The sequence below is a fragment of the Homo sapiens genome, chromosome 19 (assembly GCF_000001405.40).
Source record: "Homo sapiens chromosome 19, GRCh38.p14 Primary Assembly".
In the NCBI taxonomy this organism is placed as follows: domain Eukaryota; kingdom Metazoa; phylum Chordata; class Mammalia; order Primates; family Hominidae; genus Homo; species Homo sapiens.
The window spans coordinates 16,615,038-16,633,621 of record NC_000019.10 but is presented as its reverse complement, the minus strand read 5'-3'; the positions used below and the strand labels follow the sequence as shown (position 1 = coordinate 16,633,621).

The 18,584-nt window shown below is 51.2% G+C and overlaps 2 protein-coding genes and 1 long non-coding RNA gene across 4 annotated transcripts in view, besides 6 other annotated features; 2 read left to right on the top strand and 1 right to left on the bottom strand.

Annotated features, from left to right (window-relative positions):
- SMIM7 (small integral membrane protein 7) overlaps positions 1 to 2,871 on the top strand; it is a 29,394-nt gene extending 26,523 nt beyond the window's left edge. For both annotated transcript variants that reach the window (XM_047439418.1, XM_047439416.1), the window contains exon 6: positions 1,898 to 2,871. The gene's annotated coding sequence lies outside the window, so the exon portion shown is untranslated. The remainder of the gene's footprint in view (positions 1 to 1,897) is intronic.
- LOC105372296 (uncharacterized) lies at positions 3,814 to 5,190 on the bottom strand. The gene is made up of 2 exons (XR_936361.3): positions 4,374 to 5,190; positions 3,814 to 4,263 (listed from the first exon to the last, which is right to left on the bottom strand). It is a non-coding gene; the product is annotated as an uncharacterized LOC105372296 (long non-coding RNA).
- Positions 4,205 to 4,254: an enhancer, noted in NCBI's record as "active region_14247". NCBI's record gives its function as "activates an Ori minimal core promoter by ATAC-STARR-seq in GM12878 lymphoblastoid cells {active_cell/tissue: GM12878}" and the evidence as "EXISTENCE:reporter gene assay evidence [ECO:0000049][PMID:35858748]".
- Positions 4,359 to 5,290: an enhancer, noted in NCBI's record as "H3K27ac hESC enhancer chr19:16739143-16740074 (GRCh37/hg19 assembly coordinates)". NCBI's record gives its function as "activates a minimal SCP1, AML or CMV promoter by ChIP-STARR-seq in naive H9 embryonic stem cells {active_cell/tissue: H9 hESC(naive)}" and the evidence as "EXISTENCE:reporter gene assay evidence [ECO:0000049][PMID:30033119]".
- Positions 4,359 to 5,394: a biological region, named in NCBI's record as "H3K27ac hESC enhancer GRCh37_chr19:16739143-16740074".
- Positions 4,805 to 4,884: a silencer, noted in NCBI's record as "silent region_10312". NCBI's record gives its function as "represses an Ori minimal core promoter by ATAC-STARR-seq in GM12878 lymphoblastoid cells {active_cell/tissue: GM12878}" and the evidence as "EXISTENCE:reporter gene assay evidence [ECO:0000049][PMID:35858748]".
- Positions 5,135 to 5,394: a silencer, noted in NCBI's record as "silent region_10311". NCBI's record gives its function as "represses an Ori minimal core promoter by ATAC-STARR-seq in GM12878 lymphoblastoid cells {active_cell/tissue: GM12878}" and the evidence as "EXISTENCE:reporter gene assay evidence [ECO:0000049][PMID:35858748]".
- Positions 5,418 to 18,584, top strand: part of MED26 (mediator complex subunit 26) — a 53,286-nt gene continuing 40,119 nt past the window's right edge. Inside the window, exon 1 of the mRNA NM_004831.5 lies at positions 5,418 to 5,750. Coding sequence (NP_004822.2) covers positions 5,679 to 5,750 — 72 coding nt within the window. The 5' untranslated portion in view covers positions 5,418 to 5,678. The remainder of the gene's footprint in view (positions 5,751 to 18,584) is intronic.
- Positions 5,495 to 5,554: a silencer, noted in NCBI's record as "silent region_10310". NCBI's record gives its function as "represses an Ori minimal core promoter by ATAC-STARR-seq in GM12878 lymphoblastoid cells {active_cell/tissue: GM12878}" and the evidence as "EXISTENCE:reporter gene assay evidence [ECO:0000049][PMID:35858748]".

Sequence of the window (18,584 nt, the reverse complement as noted above, 5' to 3'; positions counted from 1 at the left end):
AGTTAGGACTGCAGGCGTGAGCCACTGTGCCCAGCTCAATACAGGTTTTCTTAGTGACAACATCACACACACACGCACACACTTAATTTACTTTGGAAGTTTAATTTACAGCAGTGTACAACTTGGTGAATTTCTTCCTTTTTTTTTTTTTTTTTTCTTTTTTTTTGAGACAGATTCTCACTCTGTTGTCTAGGCTGGAGTGTAATGGCACCATCTCAGCTCACTGCAACCTCTGTCTCCTGGGTTCAAGTGATTCTTCTGCCTCAGCCTCCCGAGCAGCTGGGATTACAGGCGCGCACCACCTGCCTAGCTAATTTTTGTATTTTTAGTAGAGACAGGGTTTCATCATGTTAGCCAGGCTGGTCTCGAACTCCTGACCTCAGGTGATCCATCCACTTCTGCCTCCCAAAGTGCTGGGATTACAGGCGTGAGCCACCGCGCCTGGCCAGCTTGGTGAATTTCTACATGTACAAACACCAGTGAGGTCACCGCTCACATTGAGGCTTAGATTATTGTAGCACCCACAAGGCTCCCTGTGGCGCCTTCTAATTCATAACCTTCCCATTGTGGGGAACTAATCACAGTTTATTTACGTACTCCCCTATTGCTAGGCACTTACATTGCTTCCAATCTTTCACTCTTACAAATAGTGCTTCAGTGAACTTCCTTGTACATACACATTTGTCTACATCTGATTGCCTCCTTCAGATAAACTTTTAGAAGTTGTGAATTTCAGTACGCTCATATCCACAGGGTCAGAGGGTATGAGCTTATTGAAATGCTCCCAGTTGGCCGGGCATGGTGGCTCACGCCTGTAATCCCAGCACTTTGGGAGGCTGAGGCGGGTGGATCACCTGAAGTCAGGAGTTCCAGAGCAGCCTGACCAACATGACGAAACCGCATCTCTACTAAAAATACAAAAATTAGCTGGGCATGGTGGCATGCAACTGTAATTCCAGCTACTCAGGAGGCTGAGGCACGAGAATCACTTGAACCCAAGAGGTAGAGGTGAGCCCAGATGGCACCATTTCACTCCAGCCTGGGCAACAAAGCGAGACTCTGCCTCAAAAAAAAAAAAAAAAAAAATGTTCACAGTTAATGACTTTTTTCATTCGTTGGTGTCCCAGCCGTGTTGTGTTTGTACAGTGCAATTAAAGTATTGTATTCATGAATTCCCACCCCCCAACCAGGTTCCGGGGCTTGCGTTCAGAACTGGAACCTTTCTGTATCCCCATCCCTACTTGAAGATGGGATTAAAAAATTGAGGTCTTCTACCTATCTTTGACATGTCAAGGTTAGTCAAAACCAATTTAAATTGGTTTCACTTTTAGAGTAAACAAGACTTAGTGCAAAGCCAAGCAGAACTATGAAACTCATCTCTAGGTACTTCTGAGATAACTGATAGGGTTGAATGAGTTCATATATGAGAAAGGGTTTTAAAAATTTCTGCCAGCGGCCGGGTGTGGTGGCTCATGCCTGTAATCCCAGCACTTTGGGAGGCCAAGGCAGGCGGATCATGAAGTCAGGAGTTTGAGACCATCCTGGCCAACATGGTGAAACCCTGTCTCTACTAAAAATACAAAAATTAGCTGGGTGTGGTGGCACCCGCCTGTAGTCCCAGCTACTCGGGAGGCTGAGGCAGGAGAATCGCTTGAACCTGAAAGGCGGAGATTGCAGTGAGCCAAGATCACGCCACTGCACTCCAGACTGGCAACAGAGTGAGACTCTCTCGAAAAAAAAAAAAAAAAAATTCCACCCGCCTGTTAAAGCAAACATAGGGGTCAAAGGAGGGTGGTTGTTTTTGTCACACTGGCTTTTTCTGTTAATCCCTGGAGCCCTCACATCCCTTATTAGGGTAAGTTTAGTAACCCTGTGCTTTAAATGGCCTGTCTCTCAGGGGCTTGCTTCTGACATGTCTGATGAGCGCATTCCTGCTGTTGCTCCTGGCTATTACAAGGTGTCGCTGTGGAAGACTATTCCTGTACAGCTGTGTGAACCTGCCTCGTCACGGCTTCCTCTGCAGTGCTCTTGAATATCCCGGTTCCTGCTTAGGCCACAGCAGTGAGTCCAGGGAGAAGCATCCTTCTACTCCCTCACTGTCCAGGTTGGCTGAAGATGCTCTGCACTTGACCTCCTGACACTAACTTCCTTGCCTTTTCCCATGGCAAGAGCAAGTCATGGACTCTGAACTACTTCCTCTCCCTTTTTTCTATTTATTTTATTTTATTTTATATTTGTGATGGAGTCTCGCTCTGTCACCCAGGCTGGAGTGTGGTGGTGTGATCTTGGCTCACTGCAACCTCTGCCTCCCAGGTTCATGCAATTCTCCTGCCTCTACCTCCCAAGTAGCTGGGAATACAGGTGCCCACCACCATGCCCGGCTAATTTTTGTATTCTTAGTAGAGGTGGGGTTTCACCATGTTGGCCAGGCTGGTCTCTTAACTCCTTACCTCAAATGATCCACCCACCTCGGCCTCCCAAAGTGCTGGGATTATAGATGTGAGCCACTGCACCCAGCCCTTCCTCTCCCTTTCTCTTTGGGGTTCCCTTCACAAACAGGTGAGGCAGCTTTTTCAAGGGCATTCCAAGCACAAAAGACCTTGTTGTACCTAAATACTATAAGGGACCTGTCATTGAGGACGAACCATCACAGCAAGAGGAATTATCTCGTGCCGCATCTTCGCATAACTGACAGGATCCCTGGCAAGGATGTCTCAATGCAGAAAGTTGGCTAAGTGAACTGCAGTATCTACCCTGGACCTAAAAGAACTTGCTAATGTTTTCAAGACTACAATTCAGAGGCTGTCTGATTTAATCTTTGCATTTACAAAAACACCCTTTTACGTACATTAAATGTGGAATAAAACTAAATATCCGTGTGTGTGTTGTGTATCCTGGTGTATATAGTATTATATTTTATGAAGTATTTCATTCATTCCAGAAATAGCTCTCCAGACCCATGGTGTACCAGATCTGTAGAAACTGAAATGCATTCATATGTCTGGGGGTGTGTGTAACGCTACCGTGTATTTGATGAAACTTTTCATTGACTTACTCCACAGATACTATTTTTCTATCTACTGGGGATACCAAAAAGAGCCAGTGCCCTTGAGGAACCAAGTCATGTCAGTGCTTCTTAGTTTTTAAAAAGTGGGTAAGTTGAGTACTTTCCAGATGTTTGTTTATTTTTCAAGACAGTCTTGCTCTGTCACCCAGGTTGGAGTACAGTGGCGTGATCTCAGCTCACTGCAGCCTCTGCCTTCTGGGTTCAAACAATTCTCGTGCCTCAGCCTTCTGAGTAGCTGGGATTACAGGTGTGTGCCACCATGCCCGGCTAATTTTTGTTTTTTCAGTAGAGAAGGGGTTTCACTATTTTGGCCACGCAGGTCTCGAACTCCTGACCGCAAGTGATCTGCCCACCTCGGCTTCCCAAAGTGCTGGGATTACAGGCATGAGCTACCAGGCATGAGCCACCGTGGCTGGCCCCACATTTTGTTTGAGACAGAGTCTGTTGCCCAGGCTGGAGTGCAGTGGTGTGATCTTGGCTCACTGCAACCTCCGCCTCCCGGGTTCAAGCAATTCTTCTGCCTCAGCCCCCTCTAGTAGCCAGGATTACAAGTGCGCGCCAGCATGCCCGGCTAATTTTTGTATTTTTAGTAGAGATGGGGTTTCACCATGTTGGCCAGGCTAGTCTCGAACTCCTGAGCTCAAGTGATCGCCCACCTCCGCCTGCTGAAGTGCTGGGATTACAGGCTTGAGCCACCACGTCCGGCCCAAATGTTTCTTAAAATAACCTGACCCATGCAAAATAAATTGCCTCCTATGTAATACTTTATTAAAAAAAAAAAAAGATACTGTACATCCGAGTTAGAAATTAAGAGAGAGGCAAGACCAGAATATGCCTGAGGAAGGCTTTGCTTATTTTGCTTATCAGAAATGAGAGAATTATCTCCGAATGGGCCAGTTTCCAACTTGGACCATGTACACCATGTACACAATGCACCGCATTCTGGGAGGGGCGAGGTTGGGAGCAGTAAATGACAAGTGTTTTGCCCGTGTTTCTTTTCTCCTCCAAGTGTGATGTAAAACTTTTCACATGTGCAGAAGCACGCAACCATAGCCACGTGCAGAAGCAGCCGTTTTTGCAAATGAAAATATTTCCCAGAAGCACAACAAATACAAGACTAACAGGTGTCGGGCAGCTCCAAGGCACACATGTGGTTCTCATCAGCTGTCTTCCTCCTGTTTTAAATCTAGGTCTTCCTGTAACAGTGGGAAAAAAAAGATTTCTCCCGAGGCCGCCGAGCTTGCCTTTCCATCCCGTCTCACAAGAGCATTTCCAACAGAGCTCCCAGAGAGAGGGGAGCAATTACCAAGGCAATAAACAGGGTGGAGGGAGGAGGGGCGCCCTTAAACTTGACATCTGCGGTTCTGGGCTTAACCCCGAAGTCTAGGTGACCTTGGGCCTCCGTTTCCTCCTCTGTGACGTGTTTGGTTAAGAGAATGAGCATCTCAGTTTTACAGAATCTCAAGGCAGAGGCGGGTAGAAGGGTCTTTCAATCACGGGGTTCTCTGCCGGTGGGGGGGCGGGGGGACTGTGCCCCCACAAGGGACGGCGGCAATGACTGCAGATTGGGGGAGGGGGCGCTTCGGAGGCCAGAGATGCCGCTCAACTTCCGACAGATCGGGGGACCCGCCCCGAAGACAGAGCGATCCCGCCCAAATGCCAGTGGTGCCGAGGTGGAGAAGCCGCCGCGTAGACGCAGATTTGCAACCTCCGGCTTTCCCAGCTACGGCGGGCGGCTTCTGCCAGAGGCGCTTTGCCGCCTCACGTTTTCGCGATCGGGGTCGCGCGTGGCGGTGCAGACCCCCGCCCTGCCACCACACCCATTCCCACACCCTCTGAGGGGCGGGGGGGCCGCGGCGACACCCCCGGACTCCGATGACCCTTCTGCGCGCAGAATCACAACGTGGACGTCTGGTTCCCTCGCCCTCACAAAAAACTCGGCAGCTGCTCAGCCTGCGACTCCCGTCCCCCAGTCACGCGCCGGGAAGGCTCTCCCAGAGGAAGGATTTTCCCGCCGCCCTCCCCGCCCCGAGGTAGCCGCTGCGAGCGTCCGGGTTCAAGGACTCTTTGCGCGCGCGCTTCCGTCAGAAAGCCCCGCCCCGTGACCTGGACGGGGGCCGTTGCCCCGCCCAACCTCCTCCCAACGGCTGCCTAGGCCGGGCGGCTGGGCGGGGCGTCACGGGCGGACGAGTGCGCCTGCGCGCGCTTGCGCGGAGGCGCGGGGCGTGGCACACGGGCAGCCCCGCCCAGGCCTGGCGTCTCCGCCCGCCCCATCTCCCAACCTCCTCAGCGTGGCGCCGACGCTGCGTGCGGCGCGGACTACCCAGAGTACTCCGCGCGGGGGCAGCTCACTGGAGTTTGGTTCTCGAGGCGGCGGCAGCGAGCGGCGGCGGCTCCGGCGGCTCCTCCTCCTCCTTTGGTGGCGGCGGCGGCCCGGGACCGAGACCCGGCCCCGGCTCCCCTCTCCGCCACCCCGCGCGCCCCCAACCCCCCGGCGCCGCGGGGAACATGCGGCTCCGGCTCCCGGAGGCCGGCGAGTGAGTGACCCCCGTCCCCCGCCTCAGCCCGCCCGCCCGCTGGCCCGGCCGCAACCCCCCGCCTCGCCCAGGCAATGACAGCGGCTCCGGCGTCTCCGCAGCAGATCAGGGACCGGCTGCTGCAGGCCATCGACCCCCAGAGCAACGTAAGTACCCGCCGCGCGAGCTGGGACGGAGGCCGCATGGGCCCGGGACCCTCCCCCTCTCCTGTACCCCTCGCCCACCGGGCTTCGGGGGACCCGTCTGGCGCCCACCTCCCCTCGAGGGCCGCTGCCATCCCTGCCTCTCGCTTCTCGGGCCCGGGCCGGGGGCAGGTCGGGCAGCCCGGCAGCGCTCGGTACGTGAGGCCGAGGCTTCCGTGCGGCCTGGGCGGAGGAAGCAGACGGGGGAGCTGAGGCTAGAGTTTTTCCTCCCTTTCTGCTCCAGCTCTACGACCCTCACTGCTCTGGACGAAGCTTCTCTGCCTCGCCCTCCCTCCGGGACCCGAGACCCCCGGGAAGCCCTCCCGGAGCGGGAAGGGGAGGGAGAAGGGCTGTGAAGCAACTGGTGTCCGGGGTATGACTCGGGGAACCTATGTCTCCCATGTCTTGGCCTCCTGGGTGATCAGGGAAGTCCTTCTTCCCCCTCCTCTCGGCTGGCAGCACCTTCCTGGCTTCGGAGAGAACCCCCAGTCTGTTTTGCCCCTGGCCGGGTACCTAGGGTACGTGGAGAGTCTGTCTCCCTTCTGTGACTAGACACGCCTTTGCCAAAACCCTCTTGGGGTCGCTGCCGACGATAGATGATCTCGGGGAGGGTGGGATCCTTCCTGTTGCCTTTCTGGGCCTCAGTACCCATTGCGTCTCTGACCAAGCCAGAGCTCCATTTTTTAGGTAGTGAATTAAAGAGGACTTTTCTCTCCCGTTTACCCAAGAGCTCTGTTTCAGTAGGCTCTTTCCCTCACCTGGGGGTCTCAGCCTGGTGGTTTTTGACCCAGACTGTCGGGGTTAACTCCAGAGTGTCGCTTCCTCGGGTGCCCCTTTGCTGAGGCTACTGTTTGCGGAGGGACCGCCCCCTCCCCTTCCGTGTGTGTGTGTGTGTTGTTGCGGGGGTGGGGGGGTGGGGGGGAAGACTGATCTATTCTCATATTTTCTCCAAGAGTTTCTTGGCAGTAGGGGTCATTCTTCCCGCGGCAGGAGCAGGGCGGTAGGAAGATGCAGTAGCATCCAGGTATGAGGGGAGGCCCTGCTTCCCAGGAAGTGGCCATTGAGATCACTTTTTAATGTGCTGTGAATGGAAGAAAAATATCATCTTTGGCTTGGCCAGGTAACTCAGGTTTCTCTCACCGTAGGGGTTTTTGCTTTCATTTTTACATGAGCTTGGCTGATTACTCTTAGCAATATGCTTCACTCTGATGATGTTTTGGGAATAATTCACATTGGCTTATACAATTTTTGGTTAAGACTGAAGGGTTATGAGTTTTTTCGAAGGCTCTGGTTGCTGTGATATAAGTACTTCTCTTATCCCTGGTATTCAGGTCCCATTAACATTGACTTGATGGTAATTGTCTTTAACAAATGTTATATTGTACATTTTTGTTATGACTTTGGGGGTGGAGTGGGCACAAGCTATATAAAACCTTCTAGAATGTCCTTTTTGCAGTAACTGGTGTCACTGCAATTTTAAGACTGAAATATTAGAGGATAAAACTAGTGACATGAAAAAAATAGCCTTGGTGACTTGTGCATCTTTTGTGGAGCCGGAAGGTAATTTTTTTAATTTCACGCACTCGCTTTCCTTCTGGAGAGTCTGAGAGGTTGCTGAGATATTAGCACTGATCCTTAATGCCACCTCAGAGAGCTTTGGGATCAGGCGGCACTTTGACAGGCGATCACAGTGTTGTAGATTAGGTCACTCCAGTGACCTCACAGTTTCCAGTATTGTATAGGGTTCTAATCTAAAGGGTTCCTTGAGGCAGAAGAAAGGAGGATGGAACAAATCTTAGTTTTGTGTGTCTTAGCACATGCAGAAATGCTATATAGGTCCCTGGTTATGTTAGCTGGCATGGAATTTGCATTTCATACCGCTTATTTTCAGGGACTTTAGTGATGATCTTGGGCAGAGTCCTACTAACATGGGGTGGATGGATTTGGGAAGTTATCTTCTTGACTATGAACAATGAGGAAAGTGCCTCCTTTGTGATTGACCCTCTGAGCGCTGTTATGGGCCATTTGACAGGACCGTTTGCTTTGAGCAAACACCATGCAGAAACACAGAGCCGCGGTGGACAGGATTGCTGGCGGAGGTGATGGTGAGAGCCGGGCATGTCAGTGCGTCTGCAGTTTCTCTTGGATCAATGTGGGCTCAGGTGAGAGCAGGTGGCTCCAGCACAGGTGCTGCCGGCGTGCCGCTCTCTCCTCTCTGCCCTGCCCAATGATGAACTCCACTACTGGATATTTAGTTGACACATATTTAAGATGCTCATGAAAAAAAAAAAAACGGGGACAGTGTTGAAGAGCCAACACTAAAATTAAACCTCTTCTGAGAGAAGCGGCAGAGAATTGTGTCATGTAATGCTTACCTTTATGGGCATGCAATTATGGTTAACAAACTTAGCTATTGCTTGCAAAATCGGTGTCAGGAACTGACCTAATATCCACAAGTATCTGGAAAGTTAGGGAAGTGACGAAGTCGTGTTTACCAACCATCTCCTTGACAAAGGAATTCTTAGGAGGAAAGTAGTTTCTGTGCTCTCACTTTTAGCCCCTGGAGTATGCATTTGAATTCCTATAGCAGCAGGCTCAGAGTTAATAATTTCTGCCAATTCAGTAATAAAGTAAATCCTCTACTCTCCTTTTGAAAAGGCTACTAACAGTTTTTCAGAGCAGTTGGAGCTTTTCTTTTCGTCGTGCACCCTTTCAGCCCAGGGTGTTGAAAATCTCTCCGAAGCGCAGTGTGTGCATGATTGTTCCAGCTTACTCTCACTGCATTGTGGGTAAAGTGAAGGACTGTGTCTTACTCTCGCACAGCAGTCATAGTGAGCAGTCTCCTCAGCAGGTGATTCGGTTCCCATCTGCCTGGGACACTCGTTCTGTGGAGGTATGAGCTTTATCTTCCTGTGCAGCACGCAAGCTTCTTGGGGATGTTTCCTGTCTTGTCTTCTCCCTCTAGAGCAGAAGCATTAGGCACACTTTCTACCTGCTGCTTAAACTGACTGAACCCTAGCATCCATCTTGGACCTGTGCCTGAGGAGCTACATTTGAGCCCCATTTTACCAAGAAGCCTTTGTGACCACTTTATGCCCAAGAGTTCAGTCGTGGAATATTCTAATGCAGAACTTTGGAGAGTGGAAGAATCACAGGTGGCTTGAGATGCTACTCAGTAGAACTGTGAGGAACACAGATGTTAAGTGATGATTAACAAACTTAGCTTTTAGAGGAAAGGTCCGACGAATAGTAGACGGTGTACTGCATCCTCATGGCAAGTAAAATAACCGCACAGGGCAGGGCTTGCTAGCTGCAGGTGAATGCCCTGTGTTCAGACCAGGGAGAGGCCTGAGAAGGTCCCGCAGCAAAGAGGGACTTGAACTAGCCCTGGCCGCGTGTGTCAGTGCCTCCAGCTGCCAGGCTCTGAGCGGGAAACGTCCTTGGGAGCTGCTTTCTTTTTCACAGCTCTTCAGGCAACAGAGACCAAGGGAGAGGTGACCGAGGCACTCTGCAGAGAGACACAGCAAGAAAGATCATTTTCCCACCTAAGAATTGGAAGGTTGGATGTTGCTTACCTTGGTTTGCCTGCAGATTTCTTGTCCACAGGGTGGGATTGGGAACTGGTGTATGCACCCCATAAAGCTCCTTCCAGATCTAAGTTCAGATCCTAGAAGGGACAGCAGAGACTAATGTCAATTGTTCTAGAAGGGGTTTTTTTTTTTTAATATATCTTTGCAAGGTACATTGTGTGAAGTTTCTCAACTAACAAAATTCTAAACCAAGGTGTATGCTTTGTTAGTTTGTGTGGCACCCTGTCAGAGAGTTCTGCTTCTCCCCAACAGCCTTGTGAGTGGGGGAGCCAGTCTCCCCTTTTGCAGGTGCAGAAGCCAGCAGCATCAGGTAATAGGTGCTGCTCAGTGGGTGTCTCCAGGGGCAAGCAGAGGATAAAATGCTTTTGTTTCTTACTGACTTAATGGGAGGTGGTGGAACCAAAGTTAGGGACTTACCCAGAGTCATTAAGTGACAGTCCTTAGAGTCCTTTCAACTCTGAACACCACCACGCTGCCTTGAAAGTTGGAGAGATGGCTCCGGAAGAGGCACGAGGGGGCAGCATTTTTGAGCTGGTAAGAAAACGTGTGAGGATCCTGTAACGTCCCCTACAAGTGTATGTGAGATTACAGATTGGGGCTGGATTTACCTATGTTACATCTAACAGGGTGGTGATATGACATAGCCTGTCCCGTGAACATCTTAAGGTCTCTGTCACAGACAGAAACCTGGGCCAGACCACGGTGTGGCAACTAGCAACCGATGTGGAACTTTTCATGAATCTGTGTGACCAGTTTGCTCTCTACTTCAACATTACAGCACTTTTGATATTAACTTAAAATGCCATTTATTCTGCAGAAAAGCAGAATGGTGTAAATTGCAAAATGAAGGACTCTTGATTCTGACCCTATCCAAAATAGTAGAGGACCCTAAACCCAAACATGTAAATGCCACCTGATCCACAATTGCCCAGATTCAGGGACTCTCCTGTCTTTACTCTGTATATTGTGGCCAGGACACAGGAGAGGAGCAGCGTGGTGTTCTCTGACTTCGGGAAATGGAAAGGTAGCAAGTATCACCTGTGACACAGGTGTATGTCCTTGTCTTTGACTCATTCTGTCCCTCAGGAGAAAGTGGACTTTACAGTCTCTCCTCACTGAGGTTTCTGGGTGGTCCTCAGAATATGTTGTCCTGGTTGGAGGTCCCAGAGCCCTGGAGGACTGTCCAAGACCAGCATGTGGTCAGGGGCTTTGTTCTGGATACAGATGTAAAAAGGCACCATGGTCACGTCAGCCCCTGGGCAGCTGTGTAAGATAGGACATGTAGCTTAAGGGCGCCAAGGTCTCTTAGGTGAAGGAGGACACTTGGCTTTCCTTTTCTTGGTTTTGGGGTCTGCGAGCATCTTCTCAGATGGAGCTCTAGTTTAACCAGGCTGACTCCAGGTGACTCCAGTCCAGCGGGAGGGGTCCCCTGGCCACTTCCCCACTATCATCTCCTTCTGGAAACTGGGTGCTTTGTTACTGCACGTTGTGCTTTTCCTTTGTATTCCTAGTGGTAGGCTGTCCCACGTCTGCCTGGTTCCTTTGGGGACCAGGAGCTGGTTGTCAGAATGGGTGGCCAAGTTTGTGGCACAGTGAGTAAAGGAGAGGCAGCACATTTCATTCCAGTGTGGTCTCGCTAGCACCCATGCTTGGAGCACCTTCCAAAACAGCCGCTTTTCACTCTTAGAGCAGGGTGTGGATTTGCCATCGGGATTCCCTGAACCGGGAAGCATTTCCTGAGTAAGAAAGACATACCGATAATTCTACATGCTGTATTTAAAGGCCTTCTCTGAATACATTCCATGCCTTGGGAGGCACTGCAGTTACATTTCAGTCACTAACTGATTAGCAAGTGCTCGTGTGCTGGGTGTAGAGGGTACAGACCTGAAGATGCTCAGCCCCTGTGCCCAAGGGGCTTGGCGCCTCATAGGGAGGAGGGCAGATAGAGCATGGTCATGAACGAGCTTGGGTGGGGTGCCGTGGCATGTGGGCTCGGCAGTCAGGGATGGCCTGATGGTGCCGCAGGTCTCAAGTCCAAATGGAACAGTTCTCCCCGTGCCTTATTTGAAAACAGTTGAGAATTCTTAAGAATATGAGATGGCTTTCTTAAGTATATTCTATCATCCAGGTTTTCAGAATAAGTTCTGTAGTCAGGCAGGCAGGCTCTTCTTGCGTTGTCTCTGGCATGAGGGGAACAGAGCTGGAAGGAACAGTCGGCAAATTATTGCACAGTTTTCCCTCTCTGCTGTGGGATGGGGCACAGGCAGATGTCGAGCTGTGTCTGTGGGTATGGTTGGGGTGTCTGGGCTTGAGAAAATGGGAAGGGCCTTGGGGTAGCATTACATGGCACTGGTTTTCAGTATTTGGGGTGTTGTTGTACCCTCTGGATTAGATTTGCTCTGTGTGGCTTTTGGAGGCAAGCCTAGGGTGGGGAAGGTGAGAGTTCTGTGATGTGCTTAGGGAAGTGGTGGATTATTGTCAGAGCTGACTTAACACAGTCTGGGGGCACTGTGAGATGGCTATGTGGACATACCCAGGCCCTTGGATTCTGTGTATAGGCCTTTGGATTCTGTGACCATCCAAGTACCGGGAGGTTCTGCGATTCTCTGTGGAGCCTATTCAAAAGGAGAGGGGTCATGTCAGGTGAAGTACCAGCAGCCCTCTGGGAACTCACATCCCAAGGATTGCCAGGCAATTGGGGTTAAAGGCCTTTGGATGTTACTGTGACTGCAGCAAAGTTTCCTGGGTTCATCCACTGCAGGAAAATGAATCTTGGAAAACGTCAGGGGGCTCATCAGGTTTCCCCTGCATGCAGAGTTAGGCTCGGTCTCCTGTGTGCCAGCAGCAGTCTCTGTTGGGCAGCAGAGGCTGCAAGACGAACAGCCGCTGTTTACTGAGCACTTACACAGTGCCAGACACTACTGTGTGGAGTGTCTCATTGCTTCTTTGAATTACTTCTAGGGTAGGTGCTTCATCTTCATTTTAGGGGCTAGGAGAGATTCACCGATTTGTCTGGTATTGCAGACAAGGGAACCAGAAGCCTTGGGTCTGAATCCATCACTGGGTGGTTCTGATGTCAGAGGGCTTAACTACGACAGTCTTCCGCTTCCCACATCGGTGGTGCCCAGCATGGAAGCTGAACTCCATTGCGTCTTCCAAGGTGTACCCTTGCAAACATGAAGTGTTTTCACATGTTACATTTTGAATTCCATTCCTTCCCAGTTCCTACAACTTTTCCCCCTTTAAATTCCTCTAGCCTAGTGGCTCCAAACCTTTTTGAGTATGAGGGTTCATTTTTATCATCAGAAACCTTCTGGAAGCTTCACATAACAACAGGTGTGCTTTGAGTAACTGTTTTAAAGAAAATTCGAGGACAGAACCTACTCCTAATCCAGTCATGCTTCGAAATGAAGTTCTGTCTTGTCATCAAAACAGCATCAGTGTAACTCTGAGAGCAGGCCTTACCTGTATGTGTGTGACACCTGGAATTTGACCTTTGTGCTGCCTCCAGTTGGGAGCCTCCTGTCATCCCTACTGCCTCCCTTTTCTGAAACCTTACCTGGCTTAATCCAAGACCGTCTCCCTCAGGAACCATTCATCATTTTAACACCTTATATTCCTGCTGATAACAGGTCTTGTTGGTTACATTTTCCATGTGATTGTGAAGTGCCCAAGTAGGAGAGCAGGTGTTGCTCCCTTAGTGTCTAGAACTGCCACAGCACGTGGGTGCCCAAATGCTTGGTGCTCTCACTGTAAACAGGGCCAGTTTTGGGAATGGCTGTCAGCGTTACTGAGCAGGTCCTAGGTGCCAGCGGTTTTCAGCACTTCACCTGCATTCAAAACACATTTAATCTTCATAGCAGGTGTAGATTAAACAGGAGGCAGGTACTAGTGAGGAAACTGAGGCTCAGCGGACACAGCTGGAAGGAGGCTAGATGGGATGAGGCTGGGGTTGGAACACAGCCACCTGCTGGCTGCCTCCCTTGTCATGTGAGAGGCCAGTGGGCACTTGCTGCGCAGGCACTCCCCTTTCTTGCCTGGGTCCAGCTGTTTATGCTGGATTCATCTGTGCACTGCTCTTATGCCAGACTGGGAGGACAGTGGTCACTAAAATGCTCTGTGCTTTCTCTGGAACTGGCTGAAGAAGGGGTGTGAGGTGTGTTTTCCTCTCTTTCTCGTCAGGTATTTTTCACCCTAATAGAGAAGGCGGCGCTTGATCTTAGATTTCTGCCTGTCCATGGTCCCTAGACACTGTTCAAATGTCACTTCATCTGTGAAGCCTGGGTCCCCAGCGATCCTTCGGCCTTTTTTGGTCATGTGACAAAACATGGCATTCCTGGACACACATCCCCCCAGATTTTCATTTGCTATGGTGAGAAAGTAGGGTGCTGCTTTGTCCAGGCCACACCCTGGTGGTGGGTCAGCCTCGTGGCTGCTGTGGAGACTCGGGTATTCGTGTGCTGGGTGCACAGCATGGTTTTATAGGGCGTTGGCTGTGGCTGGCCTTGACTCTGGTGGGGGTTCTGTGGTGCAGGCATCAGCAGTGGGTGAGTTACTGGGAGGACTCAGGTGGGTGTGACCCATGGCCCACACCGAGAGCCCAGTGGGCTGGCAGCACTCCCAGGCCCTGGCAGCCCCACTGCCTGCTTGTGCCTTCAGCACGGTAGTGCACTCTTCTGTTTCCCACCCACACTCCTGGTCACATTGGCTCTCTGGGCAGCCCCCTGCACACACTGGGTTTAAGTTCTTATCCCCTTGATGACTTGTTTTGATGTCCCCCGTTCTAGTCATCAGGTTCCTGGCCCAGCTTGAGTTAGGCATGGAGAGGTGGCCACATCCTCGTTCCCCCCAGGGTGATGTAGTAGTTACCATGGTAGCTAACGGCTCTCCTGTTCTGCAGGCCAGCCCTCCAGAACCCTTTATAGATGCTGCCCAACTCCATTCACCTCCCAGGTGCATCTTGCATGGTGCCTAGGCAAGCAGTCAGCAAGCTGGCTTTTCAGTGCTGTCAGTGGGAGACCCGTGATACTGATGTGAAGGGATATAAAATAAGAACAGTTTTATCCTTTTGGGTGGTCATTGGTTCACATTGTTTCCTTCCGTGTTAATTGGTTGCCTGCACAGCACTTGTCTTTACTTCCTATACTAATTCTGTGGCCTGTCCAGCCCTAAAGGGAGGTTAGCACTGTGCTGGTGGCAGGAGCTTAGACACAAAGGGGCTGATGGTCATGCAGGCCCAAAGGCAAGTCTGCGGTCAGGTGAGGACCTGGTTTTTCTGTCTCCCTCTTTTGCAGTGTTGCCTTCACACAGTAGGGTGTCTTCCTCTCCATCCCAGCAGTTTCAGGATTTTCCCTCACCGAACTCCCGACTCTTTGCTGGAAGCCCCACCAAACGTTTCCTTATGCCTTCTCTGAGCTTTGATTGGATTAGCAGTTTGATTGAATTAGTTGATTGGCTTACCCCTGAATCTGCTGTGGGTTCCACCCAAACAGTCCCACAATAGAGGGGATGTTCCCAGGAGACATCAAGGTCCTGTTAACGGGAGAAGAATAGTGGATCCAGTGTCCATGGATGTGCACTGATGTCATCACCTCTCCTGATGTGACCGCCAAATAGTTGGGCCTTGGCTCCAGAAGGCAAAATGGGAGTTTTTGGGGAAAAAAATGGGAAATGTAAGGTCCAGAGTAGCAACAGGGTGGTTTGGCTGGTGTGAGGTCACCGCGTGGAGTTGTGAGTACCTTCTTGTTCTGGTTAAACCACAGACTCCATTTGCCTGTAGTCACCCTTGGGGACCTCGCTGTCACGCTGTCCGAGTGCAGGTGCTGGCCAGCTGCAGCTTCAGATCCTGTCCTGGGCTGGAGACAGTCTTGAATGGTGCTGTTTTTTCCTCCCTGTCTTGACAGTCTCTCCTGGTGCTTCAGTCACTGCCTGGAATGGAGCTCATTGCTGGGGGAGGTGGTGCGGTCCAGGTGGCCTGAACCCCACCAGGCCTCCTGTGGTCATGAGGAGACTGCGCTGTGACCCAGGCAAGAGCTGTGGCCCCTCCTGTAGCTTCTCTGAATTTGTGGACCCTGGGCAGAGGCTGGGAGATCTGTTGGGTCTGATTGTCCTGCCTGTTTCCTCTCATCTGTGCCTCCCCTCTGGGTAACCGGAAACTCGTACCTGTGTTTCCTGGCCTGGCTTCTTCCCCTTCGGTTAATGGAGAGGGGTAGAGTCAAGTGATCTTTCTTTTGCAGCCTCCATTTCCCCAACCCCACCTTGTGTTTCTGGGGGGGCTCTCAGTAAGCACCTGATGTTGGTGTCTGCTCCCCCTTTTGCCTGGCCGTGACGGAAACGGGCCACATGTTAAGTCTCAGCTCGTCTGTGAGGGAAAGTTTTGTGAATGGGTATTCCACCTTCACTTCTGCCTTAAGGGAGCTTCTCAAGCATTTCATTTTCTCACCTTGATGGTTGGTGGGCAAGCAAGTGCCTGAACTTGTGGGCCTCTGAATGAGGAGCCTGTCTTCTCCCAGGAAAGCTTCAGCACTGCTCTCCTGTGAGCTCCTCCGCATTTGCTCCCCAGCTTTTTCCTTCCTCTAAACACTGAGCTGAGCTTAAATAAGTGCTGTTTGGGATTGAAATTGGGGTGGAGAGAAGGGAGAGGGAATCTTTTCTGTTTCTGGTCCTCCACACTATGTGTGTGTGTCTGTGTGTCCGCCTGTCTTGTGGATGGGCTGCTTCATGTGTTGGGAAAGGCAGCAGCTCCTGAGTTTGACCTGTTGTAGACAGGAGTTACTTTCTAGTTTCCAGTTCCGGAAACTTCAGGAGACACACTCTGGCTTGGTTTGGGGTGCCATGGGAGGGTCTTGTAAGAAAGTGGCAGTGCCCACAGTAAGTCAGGGAGGTGTTTCCGAAGGAGCAGGACCTTTTGTGCAGACAGAAACAGCATGTGCCCCCAGGCTGCTGCAGCCCTGTGTACCTGAAGGAAAATGGTGAAAACCCTGGCCTGGAATGGGGAGGGGGCACGTTAGGTGTTCTGGTGTAGTTGGCAGGTGGTATTTGTGCTGGATGGTATGTGGAAGACTTGTGCATTGCCTCTCTGGACACGCTGTCAGCCCAACAAGGAGTTAGGGGTGTGACCGAGTGGGCACCTCCTCATCACCCTGGTGATGATTCTTCTGTGTTGAGAGCACTGTGAACACGGTTTCCTATCTGGTCGGGTGGTGGGCTCCCTCAAGTTGGGAAGTAGGAAGTGGCATCATCTGTTTAGGAAGATGAGCTGTCCTTGGGCACAAGGATGCCTGTTGTGTTTGTCACGCCAGGTTGTCTTCTCTTTAGGGCGCTGTTCTCTGTGCTCACCATGGGCACTTGGAATGAATGACAAGGCCTAGCAGTGGGGGGGTGTCTGCCTACCTGGTTCCCTTGCCCCTTGCTGCATTGGTCTCTTTTTTCTCTACACAACCCTTTCCAGTGGTGCCTGCTCCCCCTAAGCGTTTTGGCTTTGTGTAGCACTGCTCACGGTCTTCGGCCCTTAAGACTTTCCCCAGGTAGTCTCAGAGCCACAGCTTCGTTGGCACCTGGACACTTGCTCTCTCCTGTGCCTGGATGTCTAGACAGCCCACTCCAAAGTGGATACACCTTCTTCATCTCTGCCTTTGTCATGCTGTGCTGTGTCTGTTGGTGGTGCCATGATCTACTGCTCTGTAGACCACCTTAGGGCCATCCTGGAGTCCTTCTTCCTGCAAGCTGGACCTCCAGGGGGTCTAGTGCAGCAGTGTCCTAGTCAGTCTCCTGCCTCTGTGTGTCTGAAAACAGATAGGGATGTTTGACTTTTCTGGTGGTGTCGTGTTGCTGGCTGGATAGAGTCTCAGCTCTTTAGGTGGCATATAGTGGAGAAGACAGTCTTTCTCCTGGGTGGAGGACTTAAGCAGAATGGAGTTGGAACCATTGACTCTGCCATTCACCTTGCAACCTTCGACAAGGTTAGGTTTGCAGCCTTTGTTTTTCCAGAAAGATGTAAAAAATGCTGCATAGGAAGGCTTTTAAGAATGGAACATGGCCCTGTGCCTGAAGCATCCTGGGTGCTCACATGCATGCTACCTAATAATACACAGGCTTGGTGGTAGAGAGCCCATCTAGCTCCCATGGCCTTCCTCCTGGTCTCTGCATCCTCGTTTTCCTGAGAGCTGCCCCTTCCTCTCTCCAGTCCATGCCCATTGGATGGTTAGTAATGTAGGTAGGACTGGCCAGTAATGGGGCTGCATCTTCCTGGGCAGTGATTGGTTCAGAGACAGACCTGTGACCCAATCAGAGCCTGTGAAAGTTGTAGCACTTTGCTGGAGTAGGTTGGGGAGACTTGAATGGAAGAGGATGTGAGCTGTTTTCTGCTGGGGTTTGCTGCCTGGAGGCAGCCTGTCCAGGATTAAGACCTGGTCAGAGGAGTGGAGAGGACTAAGACCTTGTGGCTTGGCTGGTCTGAGGTGAAGCCTGTCCTAAACTTTTTTTTTTTTTTTCTCCCCCAGAGATGGAGTCTTGCTCTGCCTCCCAGGCTGGAGTGCAATGGTGCAATCTCAGTTCATTGCAACCTCTGCCTCCTGGTTTCAAGCAGTTCTCCTGCCTCAGCCTCCCAAGTTGCTGGGATTACAGGCGCCTGCCACCACACCCAGCTAATTTTGTATTTTTAGTAGAAACAGGGTTTTGTCATGTTGGCCAGGCTGGTCTCGAACTCCTGACCTCAGGTGATCCACCCACCTTGGCCTCCCAAAGTGCTGGGATGAATGACAGGCGTGAGTCCCCACGCCTGGCTGCCCCAAATTTTTAAGCTAAGTGAGCCTGTGGTTTCCTTTCTTGATAAAACCCATTTGAGCTGACTTTTCCCTCACTTGCAACTGAGAGAGTCAGTAAAGAATCATCTGAGCACATTGTGCCCCAGGCTCTGGGTCAGGTAGCCCTTCTTATTCCTCTCCTGCTCCAGCCATGCTCAGCTGCTCATCAGTCAGCTCCTGACCTTTTTGTGCACCCCACCTGATCACCTGCCCTCTCTCCCTCCTTGCCTCTCTGGTCTCAGGGTCCAGAGCCTCCATAAGCATCCCTGTCTTCTGACTATTGCAGGCATCCTGGTCTGATCTTTCCCGCAGTGCTTCCTGTAACCGGTCTGACTTGCCTGTCATTTCCCCCACCCCCATTCCCCTTGAAGCAAAGACTGGTTGGTTGTTTTCTTGCTGGTATT